The sequence below is a fragment of the Homo sapiens genome, chromosome 3 (genome assembly GCF_000001405.40).
Source record: "Homo sapiens chromosome 3, GRCh38.p14 Primary Assembly".
Classification (NCBI taxonomy): domain Eukaryota; kingdom Metazoa; phylum Chordata; class Mammalia; order Primates; family Hominidae; genus Homo; species Homo sapiens.
In genome coordinates, this window is record NC_000003.12 from 49,031,252 (window position 1) to 49,043,448 (window position 12,197).

A 12,197-nucleotide genomic window follows, 5' to 3' on the forward strand; every position below is an offset into this window, starting at 1 on the left:
TGCTTGGATTACAGGCGTGAGCCACGGTGCCCAGCCTCATGTTGTGTTTTCTACCCAATAATGATGGCCATTACAGTGGGGCCCTAAACTTGGGTTCACCCCCCTCCCCCGAACTGTGCTGTACCTCTATTAAGTACTTGGCATGCTGTATCCTCTAACAGTTATTCATCCATCCATTCAAGATTTATTCAAGGGTTACTAGTGCCAGGTCAGCACTAGGTGCTGATATTTAAAAAAATGGGCAGGAAAAGTATTTCCTACCCATGGAGCTTACAGATAGGAGGGGACACAGGTAGCAATTAAAGTTAAACAAATACAAAATAAAAAACAGTGATAAGTGCTACCGAGGAAACAGTCACAGGGAAGAGGTGGGGAATCTGGAAATGCTTCCCTGATAAGCTGTGTTTAAGTTGAGAAGAGGCATAATATGATGTCCTTGAGTGGAGAGGAGCTAGTGTGGCTAGGGAACTAAGAGCTCCACAGACATGAGGTTAGCAAGGGGGAGTGCATCAAAGGAGTTGTCTGCCATAAAAGAATTACTATGTAATGAGAAACCATTGAAGGGGCAAAAGGGAGAAAAAGCTGAGAGGAGTCTCACCTAGATTAATGATGGCAGTGACAAAAGGTCAAGGTCAGGAAGCAGGGCCATGCTCAATATGTGATGAAGGTAGATTCTCTGTACCTTCATACCCTTTTCATGAAAGGTGACTGTAGGGACCCGGGACCCCTTTTTCTATCAGTGCTAGGCACATCACACACCTTTGGAAAGCCAGAGCAAGGCTGCTTCTAAATTTAGCTTTCTGGAAGTGTTTTTACTTGGTTTGGGACTAGAGAATGCCTCTCCCCTATGATAAGTGATCACACAAGTGAGCATGCACACGCATACACACACATGCGCACACATGGACAGCAAGTCACAATAAAGCCTCACCATTTGAAGAGGTAGAAATCATAGAGCTTGATGGGACATCTCAATGGATTCTCTGGATTTTCCGTCTGTTCTGCATACATGTCATCTGTAACTATAAAACACACATCCCCACCACCACAGACCTGGCATCAGACTGCCTTACCTCAGGCCCAGATCAGGAAACTTAGGCTTTCAGCCAGCCCAACTAGGAAATACAGGGTCGGGGGAGGGAAGGTATGAGGCATGGGCAGTGACTACTAAGGGAAGAGGCAGCTATTCTGTCTGGGGCTTCTCTGCTTCTAGGAGGAAAGTTTGGAATTTTTGGCTGGGGAGAAGGGAGTGGAGAATTTTATCCAGCAAATCCCAACCTTTACACTTATCACTAGCCTCACAGGCACAAGGGCAGGACAGGGCAGGACAAGTAGCACCTGTTTTTGCCATCCCTGCCTCCTTTCCCTACCTTTCTGGCCAGTCTGGTGTATTCCAAGGGCCTTCAAGTACCGGATACTCGTGCTTTTATCCTTGGGATTAGAGGGGTTCTTCTTTGTCTGTCGCAAGACCTTGGAGAAGGCCAGCTTCATGTGCTGGTCCACTGTCTTCAATAGGAAGTACCTGGATCACAAGTAAAATGCAAGGCAGAGGGAGGGGTGCCGGGAGGATACCATGACTCATCCTCTGCCCACTGGTGCTTCAGAGGAGCCACTGCCCACATTCCCAAGATCTGGGCAGGCCCGTACCCAAGCAGTGTCCAGTGCAGGAACCACATCAAGATGGATGGTAGGGGTCTGGCAAGGGTGTTTGCCTCACTGGTTACCAAATAAAATGCAGCCAAGTGGGGTTAGGGCTTTCAGTAGCCCAGTTTCTCAAATATATGTCAGAGGAATTCAGAAGGCCTCTTGGATAGCTTCCACACTCTTCACTGGACAGATGCCAGCAGTGGAGCCTCTAGAACACTTACTTGGTATTAAAGAACATGAGGGTGGTCAGCAAGGTGGAGGGGGAGTGAGCCCCAAGCTGCTTGCACTCCCATAGCATCTCCTCAGTCACGTGGCTGGGCAAGACATAGCCTAGGAGGAATAGAGTACTGTCACAACAAGAGGATGGCAGGTGGTCTCTCAAAGGTACAATATGGGATGTGTGAAGCATAAGGACCACACAGGAGTATAAATTTCATCAGGGGACTCTCCCTAAAGTGTGGCAAAAATCATCTGGAAAGCTTCTTAAAACACAGATAGCTGGGTCCCAATCTGTTTCTGAGGTGGAACCTGATGATGAGCACTTCTAACACCACACTTGAGAACCACAGCCTTACATGATTGTTGTTACCCTCTAATCCAAGGCTAACACAGGGCAAAAAGACTGCCCTCAGAGACAGTGAAGTACAGAAAACTATAAACCAAACTCTGCATATATGCATAATTCTCTGAGAGTGTACAGAGCTTTGCATATTTTCAAAGGTGGTCCAGGACCCAAAGAACTGGCATGCACGCCCGTTTGCCCTTACCAAGTCTTCTCTCATCTCAACTGTCTCTAAAAAGCAAGGCCGGCCAGGCGCAGTGGCTGATGCCTGTAATCCCAGCACTTTGGAAGGCCGAGGCGGGTGGATCACGAGGTCAGGAGATTGAGACCATCCTGGCCAATATGGTGAAACCCCGTCTCTACTAAAAACACAAAAAATAGCCGGGTGTGGTGGCGGGCTCCTGTAGTCCCAGCTAATCGGGAGGCTGAGACAGGAGAATGGTGTGAACCCAGAAGGTGGAGCTTGCAGTGAGCCGAGATTGCACCACTGCACTCCAGCCTCGGCAACAGAGCGAGACTCCCATCTCAAAAACAAAAAAACAAAAAAACAAAAAAAACAAAAAAAACGGCTATTGTCATTTCTTCTCTAGATAAAGAGACTGATACTCTTTGGGGGATTTTATTATTATTATTATTATTATTATTATTAGCTAAGATACAGGGTCTCTTCTACAATATTTATCTTTTTTTAAAAAAGGAAGACCAGGCATGGTGGCTCACGCCTGTAATCCGAGAACTTTGGGAGGCGGAGGTGGGAGAATTGTTTGAGCCCAAGAGTTGAAGACCAGCCTGGGCAACATAGCCAGACCTCATCTCCACTGAAAATCAAAAAAATTAGTCGTGTGATGGTGCACATCTGTGATCCCAGCTACCAGGGAGGCTGAGGTGGGAGGATTCCTTGGGCCTGGGAGGTCAAGGCTGCAGTGAGCCGTGATCGCACCACTGTACTTAAGCCTGGGTGACAGAGTGAGATCCTGTCTCAAAAAAAAAAAAAAGGGAAAAAAAAGAGATGGGGTTTCGCTCTGTCACCCAAGCTAGAGTACAGTGACACAATCATGGCTAACTGCAGCCTTGAGCTCTTGGACTCAAAGACTCCTCCTGCCAGTTTCCTGAGCAGTTAGAAATACAGGCGTGAACCACCACGCCTAGCCAATATGCCAGTATTTGAACTATTACAAGATCCCCCCCACAGGGCTGGTGTTACTGTAAGACCCTGGTTCATAAGTGAGCCCAGAGCTAGGTACAGGCAAAGGTCAATAATTTGAATAAGAGCCCTGGTCAGCCAGGTCTGCACCAAAGAAAGATGACATTTGAATGACTACCAAGCCCCTTCATGTGCTGAAGTCAGTCAGTATGCACATGTTTGTGCACTGGGTGCATAATGAGATAGGAGCAGGCAACAGTATTCTCCTGCAGGGTTTCGGGATTCTCCAAGCAAGCACAGTGTGTGACACTTCCTGGAAGCAGAAAAAAGAACATTCTGCCCGATACACTCCTCTTCTGTGTTCTATGCTCTTGCCAAAACAAAGCTGGCTCTCTAATAGTGCATTTCCATCTCTTTAAGGCAGTTCTGACTCTATTTTTTGTCTACTTTTCGGCTATTTTGTGACCCAGTGGCAATGGGAAAAGCTTTTCTGCTCTTAGACATATCTGAAGCCCCCAAGATCCAGGATGAGCAGAAAACAGCCCTTCTCAGCAAAGAAGGATTCAAGGAATCCTCTCACCTCAGCCTCCCTAGTAGCTGGGATCACAGGTGTGCACCATCACACTCGATTATTTTTTTTGATTTTTAGTGGAGATGAGGTCTTGCTATGTTGCCCAGGCTGGTCTTCAAATCTTGGGCTGAAGCAATTCTCCTACCTCGGCCTACCAAAGTTCTGGGATTACAGGCGGGAGCCACCATGCCTGGCCTTCCTTTTCTTAAAAAAATAATTTTTCTCCTGGGAACAATTATTGCCATACTTTGGCATGTTCCACTTCTCTGGGTTCGCTCTGTCACTTGCTCCCTCTGATGTCACTTCCCTAATTTTATTCTCTTCTCTACAATTTGTAATAAACTTGGCTGGGTGTGGTTACTCATGTCTATAATCTCAGCACATTGGGAAGCCAAGGTAGGAGGACTGCTTGAACCCAGGAGTTCAAGACCAGCCTGGGCAACATAGGGAGACCCTGTCAATACAAAAACCTTAAAAAAAAAAACAAAAAAAAACAGCTGAGTGCAATGGCTTGAGCCTGGGTCCCAGCCCGAGCCCAACAGGGTGAGGCAGCAGTGAACTATCATCATGACATTGTACTCCAGCCTGGGAGACAAAGCAAGACCCTGTAAGAAAAACTAAAATAGCCTGGGCATGGTGGCTCATGGGTGTAACCTTGGGAGGCCAAGGCAGGTGGATCACTGGAACCTAGGAGTTTGAGACCAGCCTAGACAACATGGCAAAACCCCATTTCTACAAAAAAAAAAAAAAAAACAAAAACTAGCCAGGTGTGGTGGTATGCACCTGCAGTCCCAGCTACTTGGGAAGCTGAGAGGTAGAAGGATTGCTTCAGCCCAGGAGGTAGAAGTTGCAGTGAGGCAAGATTGTGCCACTGCACTCCAGCCTGGGAAACAGAGCAAGACCCTGTCTCAAAATAAAAAAATAAATCAAAATAAAATAAAACAGACTCTATTGACTGAGGGCCAGGGCTCCTAGCATGGAAGTAAGGGGCTATAGATAAAAAAAACCTAGGTATTAGCCTTATAGTTCTGAATCTGAACTACAGGCACCAAAATGATGTATTTTATCTTTAAAAACAATTTCTAGTTCTGCCCACTGAAGATCCTAGAAACAAGACCAATCTAGGAACAATAAGCACCCCTGGCATACAGAGTAAGGCACTGAAATACCATTCCCCAATAAAAGGAACCAGGCTCCAGAACTGAAGGATTCTACACTAGAACAAGAAATGTCCAAGATGGGACTGAAACATTCTGTGAAATCAGAAATCAAGAAAGACAACTAGGGTCATGTCAAAAGGACTTAGGGGTCAATTTAAAGAGGCTTCTAATGGCCAATGATGGGACATTTGTGCATCAGTAAAGATGACTGCAAACAGCTGAATCTCATTAAATACGTTTAAATCTGTAAGTTCACAATGACTCTTAAAACAAGAAAACCTTAATTGGACATCACTGAGAGAAGCTGATGAACTAACTCATTTTTGTGAAAACTGGCTAAGCAAAGAAAAAAAGAAAAAACAAAAAAAAAAAACAGCCGTTAACCCTTCCTCTTCTATACAATCTATACCATCATGAACCCAAAGAGTTAAAGAGGGAAAGTTAGGGCCAGGAACAGTGGCTCATGCCTGTAATCCCAGTACTTTGGGAGGCCGAGGTGTGCGGAATGCCTAAGCTCAGGAGTTCGAAACCAGCCTGGGCAACATGGCAAAACCCCATCTCTACAAAAAATACAAAAATTAAACAAGCATGATGGCATGTGCCTATGGCCCCCAGCTACATGGAGGGCTGAGGTGGGAGGATCGCTTGGGCCCAGGAGGTTGAGGCTACAGGCTACAGTGAGCCGTGTTCCCATCACTGCAATCCAGCCTGGGTGATAAATCGAGACCCCCGTCTCTTAAAAAAAAAAAAAAAAAAAAAAGGAAAGTTTATCTTTATATTCCAAGTAATTATGAAGTAATAATAACATTAGAATACTGTTTTGCAACCCATAAAGAATCAATGGATTCAGACATTATGGGCACTGTGATCAAAGAAAGGCCAACTATGAAGTAATCTTGCCAAAAACAAAACAAAACAAAAAATCCGGAATCAATCTGTATATTCAATTACCAATCAATTGTAGATACATGGGGAAAAAAGAACATGTTAAACTACACTACAGAGTGCAATCAGCAAAAATTAGACTGTGTGACAATTTCAAAGGCTAGTTTCTTCCATGAATATACTGTAAGACAAAAGGGAGGGGGGCAATTAAGATGAACAGTAAATATTAAGGCCAGGCAAGGTGGCTCACACCTGTAACCTAGCACTTTGGGAGGCTGAGGCAGGTGGATTGCCTGAGCTCAAGAGTTCGCGACCAGCGCGGCCAACATGGTGAAACCCCGTATCAACTGAAAATACAAAAATTAGCTGGGTGTGGTGGCAGGCGCCTGTAGTCCCAGCTACTCGGGAGGCTGAGGCAGGAGAATCACTTGAACCCAGGAGGTGGAGGTTACAGTGAGCCGAGATTGCACCACTGAACTCCAACGTGGGCAAGAGAGAGAGACTCTGTATCCAAAAAAAAAAAAGGGCAGGGGACGGGCAGATCACAAGGTCAGGAGTTCCACACCAGCCTGACCTGGTGAAATCCCATCTCTACCAGACATATAAAAATTAGCTGGGTGTGATGGTGCGCGCCTGTAATCCCAGCTACTCAGGAGGCTGAGGCAGAATTGCTTGAACTTGGGAGGCGGAAGTTGCAGTGAGCCGAGATCAAGCCTCCGTCTCAAGAAAAAACAAAAACAAAAACACAACAGCCAATTTCAATATGTAGACTTAATTTTGACCTTGATTCAGATAAATCAAAATAATGAAATTTATAAGACTATTAAAAATTTTAATAAAGGGTAGATTTTTTTTTTTTAAAACAGAGTCTCGGTCTGTTGCCCAGGCTAGAGGGCAGTGGCGCGATCTCGGCTCACTGCAAGCTCAGCTCCCGGGTTCACACCATTCTCCTGCCTCAGCCTCCATAATAGCTGGGACTACAGGCACTCACCACCACGCCCAGCTAATTTTTTTGTATTTTTAGTAGAGACAGGGCTTCACCGTGTTAGCCAGGATGGTCTCGATCTCCTGAACTCATGATCCACCCGCTTCGGCCTCCCAAAGTGCTGGGATTACAAGCATGAGCCACTGCGCCCAGCCTAATAAAGGGTAGATTTTAATTACATTATGGATTTACCTTTTTTGTTGATTTAATTATTATTATTTTTTTGAGACTGAGTCTTGCACTGTTGCCTGGGCTGGAGTGCAATGGTGTGATCTCGGCTCACTGCAAACCCCGCCTCTCCTGGGTTCAAGTGATTCTCCTGCCTCAGCCTCCCGAGTAGCTGGGATTACAGGCTCCCACCACCACACCCAGCTAATTTTTGTAATTTTTTTAGTAGAGATGGGGTTTCACCATAATTGGCCAGGCTGGTCTTGAACTCCTGACCTCGTGGTCGGCCCACCTCAGCCTCACAAAGTGCTGGGAATTCAGGCGTGAGCCACTGTGCCCAGCCATTTTTTTAAATTATTTTTTAAAGTATGAGCCGGGCTCCGTAGTTCACGCCTGTAATCCTAGCACTTTGGGAGGTTGAGGCAGGTGGATCACCTGAGGTTAGAGGTTCAAGACAAGCCTAGGCAACACAGTGAAACCTCGTCTCTACTAAAATACAAAAAATTATCCGGGTGTGGCAGCATGCACCTGTAGTCCCAGCTACTTGGGAGGCTGAGGCAGAAGAACTGCTTGAATCCAGGAGCCAGAGGTTGCAGTGAGCCAAGATCGTGCCACTGCACTCCAGCCTGGAAGACAAAGTGAGACTCCATCTCAAAAAAATAAATAAATAAATAAAAAGTAAATATTAAAAGACATAACCGGGCCAGGCGCAGTGGCTCACGCCTATAATCCCAGCACTTTAGGAGGCTGAGGCGGGTGGATCACCTGAGGTCAGGAGTTCAAGACCAGCCTGGCCAACATGGTGAAACTCCATCTCTACTAAAAATATAAAAATTATCTGGGTGTTGTGGCACATGCCTGTAATCCCAGCTACTAGGGAGGCTGAGGCAGGAGAATTGCTGGAACCTGGCAGACAGAGGTTGCAGTGAACCGAGATCGTGTCATTGCGCTCCAGCCTGGGCGACAGAGTGAGGATCTGTCTCAAATAAATAAGTAAATAAATAAATAAGTAAGTAAGTATGATAGGCTGGGCCCGGTGGCTCATGCCTGAAATCCCAGCACTTCGGGAGGCCGAGGCGGGCCGATCACTTGAGGCCAGAAGTTTGAGACCAGCCTGGACAGGTGCCTGTAATCCCAGCTACTCGGAGGCTGAGGCACAATAATTTCTTGAACCCAGGAGGTGGTGGCAGTGTGCTGAGATTGCACCACTGCACTCCAGCCTAGGCAACACAGAGACTCCATCTCAAAAAAAAAAAAAAAAAAAAAAAAAGTATGGATAAAGTATCTGGAATTTACTTCCAATACAGGAGAGGGGAAACAGGTGGTGGTATACATAAGGTTTAAAATGGAAAAAATAAACTTAAAAACAAACAAAAACAAACAAAAAGGAATTAAACAGCAACAGGCCAGGCTCGGTGGCTCATGCCTGTAATCCCAGCACTTTGGGAGGCTGAGGCAGGCGGATCACTTTAGGTCAGGAGTTTGAGACCAGCCTGGCCAACATGGTGAAACCCTGTCTCTACTAAAAATACAAAAAAATTAGCTGGGCGTGGGGCACATGCCTGTATTCCCAGCTACTTGGGAGGCTGAGGCACGAGAATCACTTGAACCCCAGAGGCGGAGGTTGAAGTCAGCCGAGATCATACCACTGCACTCCAGCCTGGGCGATAGAGTGAGACTCCGTCTCAAAAGCCAAAAAACAGCAACAAAAAAAGATTTGCCATGGAAAATGGGTACATGGGGGAATTCATTAATCTATTGTTTATTTATGTTTGAAACTTCCATAATAACAGACTGAAAAGTGAAGTCTGCATATCCATACTTGGCTTGAAAACTTCCAAATTATGTAGAGTGATGTAGTCACTCATGTCTCTGTTCCAACAATAGCCCTCCCTTGTAATACTCTTAACACTTTCCATTCCTTTGTGTTCTGTTCTTCAAAGTACTTAAATTGCTAGGCGCAGCAGCTCACACCTGTAATCCCAGCTCTTAGGGAGGCAGAGGTGGGAGGATAGCTGGAGCCCAGGAGTTGGAGACCTGCCTGGGCAATACAGCAAGACCTTGCTCTCCACAAAAAAGGAGGGGAAAAAAAAAGACAAAGTACTAGAGTTAACTTACTTATTTATACACTGTCTTGCCTTACTATAGTGCAAGCTCCATTTTCTTCACTGCTATATTATATTCTCCGGCACCTAGCAGACTGCTGGGCACATAGTAGGCACTCAAAAAATTTGTCTAACCAGTAAGTTTCTTTTTTAAGGGTAAAGCAGCATACATTTTAATAAATGTATTTTATTAAATTAAACAGGGATTAAAACTCGGATATTTGCGTGAACACAAGTTTTAAACTTCTCTGAATGTCAAGGAATGCAACTGCTGCATCATAAGGCAACAATGTTTACTTTTGTAAGAAACTGCCAAATTGTCTTCCAAAGTGGTTGTGTCTTTTTGCATTTCCACAAGTGATAAATGACATGTTACTCCCTATCTGTGTCAGCATTTGGTGCTGTCGGTGTTTTGAATTTCTGCCATTCTAATAAATGTACAGTAGTATTTCATTACTTCAATTTGCAACTCTCTGATGACACCTGATGAGAGCATCTTTTTTTGGAGACAGAATCTCATTCTGTTGCCCAGGCTGGAGTGCAGTGGCAAGTGATCTTAACTCAATGCAACCTCCACCTCCTGGGTTCAAGTGATTTTATTGCCTCAGCCTCCCAAGTAGCTGGGATTACAGGCACGTGCCACCACACGCAGCTAATTTTTGTATTTTTTTTAGTAGATATGGGTTTCCCCATATTGGCCAGGCTGGTCTTGAACTCCCGACCTCAAGTGATGCACCCACATTTGGCCTCCTAAAGTGCTAGGATTACAGACGTGAGCCACCGCACCCAGCCCATCTTTTCATATACTCATGTGCCATCAATGCATTTTCTTTGGTGAGGTATCTGGTCAGATATTTAATATGTGTGTGTGTGTGTGTGTGTGTTTTATTTTTTGGTGGAGATAGGATCTCACCATGTTGCCCAGACTGGTCTTGAACTCCTGGGCTCAAGCAATCCTCTCACCATGGCCTCCCGAAATACTGGTATTACAGGTGTGAGCTACCAGGCCCAGCCTAGATATTTATTATGAATGAGATGGGGGTCTCACTTTGTTGACCAGGCTGGTCCCAAACTCCTGGGCTCAACTGATCTTCCCACCTCGGTCTCCCAAAGTGCTAGGATTATGGGTGTGAGCCACTGCAACCAGCTGCTACTCCTTTTTTTTTTTCTGAGACGGAGTCTCACTCTGTCACTCAGGCTGGAGTGGAGTGGCGTGGTCTCAGCTCACTGCAACCTCTGCCTCCCTGGTTCAAGCAATTCTCCTGCCTCAGCTTCCCGAGTAGCTGGGACTACAGGCACATGCCACCACGTCCAGCTAATTTTTTGTATTTAGTAGAGACGGGGTTTCACAGTGTTAGCCAGGATGGTCTCGATCTCCTGATATCATGATCTACCTGCCTCAGCCTCCCAAAGCTCTGGGATTATCTGGGATTACAGGTGTGAACCACAGCTCCCAGCCAATTTTTTGTATTTTTAGTAGAGACAACGTTTTATGTGTTGGCCAGGCTGGTGTCGGACTCCTGGTCTCAAGTGATCCACCTGCCTTGGTCTCCCAAAGTGCTGGGATTACAGGCGTGAGCCACCGCGCCCAGACTGTGTTTTTTTTTTTTTTTGGGCGGGGGGGCGGGGGTGGCACGGGGCAGACTCTTGCTCTTGTCGCCCAGGCTGGAGTGCAGTGGCACGATCTCAGCTCACTGCAAGCTCTGCCTCCCAGGTTCATGCCATTCTCCTGCCTCAGCCTCCCGAGTAGCTGGGACTGCAGGCACCCACCACCACAACCGGCTAATTTTTTTGTATTTTTTAGTAGAGACGGGGTTTCACCGTGTTAGCCAGGATGGTCTCGATCTCCCGACCTTGTGATCCACATGCCTCGGCCTCCCAAAGTGCTGGAATTATAGGCATGAACCACTGCACCCAGCCAAAGACACACAGGAATCTTAAAGGCATATTGCTAAATGAAAGGAACAAATCTGAAAAGGCCACATGCCGAATTATTCCAACTATATGACATTCTGGAAAAGGCAAAACTGTGAAGATAGTAAAAACATCAGTGGTTTTCAGGGTATCTGGGGGAGGGAGGGATAAACAGGTGAAAAGGTTTGTTTTTTTTTTTGAGACGGAGTCGCGCTCTGTCACCAGGCTGGAATGCAGTGGCGCAATCTTGGCTCACCACAACCTCCGACTCCCTGGTTCAAGCGATTCTCCTACCTCAGCCTCCCGTGTAGCTGGGATTACAGGTACCTGCCAACACACCTGGCTAATTTTTGTATTTTTAGTAGAGATGGGGTTTCACCATGTTAGCCAGGCTGGTCTTGAACTCCCAATATTCAGTGATCAGCCCATCTCTGCCTCCCAAAGTGCTGGGATTACAGGTGTGAGCCACCATGCCTGGCCCAGAAGAGGTATTTTTTAGGGCAGTAAACATTCTATATGACACCATGATGGTGACACATGTCATCATACATTCATCAAAACTCAGAATGTACAACAGATACAGAATGTAAACCAGAACGTACAACACAATAATATAGTTCATAGCACTATGAACTATAGTTAACAATAATGTATCAATATTGGTTTATCAATTATAACAAATGTACCATACTAACGCAACATGTTATTGATAGGAGAAACTGTGTGTGAGGGTATATACTTAAGGAGTTATATGGAAATTCTCTGTACTTACTGCTAAATTTTTCTGGAAACCTAAAAGTACTCTAAAACATAAAGTCTATTGGCTGGCCGTGGTGGCTCATGCCTGTAATCCCAGCATTTGGGAGGCCGAGGTGGGCGGATCACCTGAGGTCAGGAGTTCGAGACCACCATGACCAATATGATGAAACCCTGTCTCTAGTAAAAATACAAAAATTAGCCAGGCGTGGTGGCATGCTCCTGTAATCCCAGCTACTTGGGAGGCTGGGATAGGAGAATCACTTGAATCTGGGAGGTGGATGCTGCAGTGAGCCAAGA

At 45.8% G+C, this 12,197-nt stretch overlaps 1 protein-coding gene across 10 annotated transcripts in view; it reads right to left on the bottom strand.

Annotated features, from left to right (window-relative positions):
- Nucleotides 1-12,197, bottom strand: part of QRICH1 (glutamine rich 1) — a 64,667-nt gene that overhangs the window by 1,545 nt on the left and 50,925 nt on the right. For all 10 annotated transcript variants that reach the window (NM_001320584.1, NM_001320585.1, NM_198880.3 and 7 more), the window contains 3 exons: nucleotides 1,869-1,977; nucleotides 1,371-1,522; nucleotides 932-1,022 (listed from right to left, as the gene is read on the bottom strand). In NM_001320584.1, coding sequence (NP_001307513.1) covers nucleotides 932-1,022; nucleotides 1,371-1,522; nucleotides 1,869-1,977 — 352 coding nt within the window. The remainder of the gene's footprint in view (nucleotides 1-931; nucleotides 1,023-1,370; nucleotides 1,523-1,868; nucleotides 1,978-12,197) is intronic.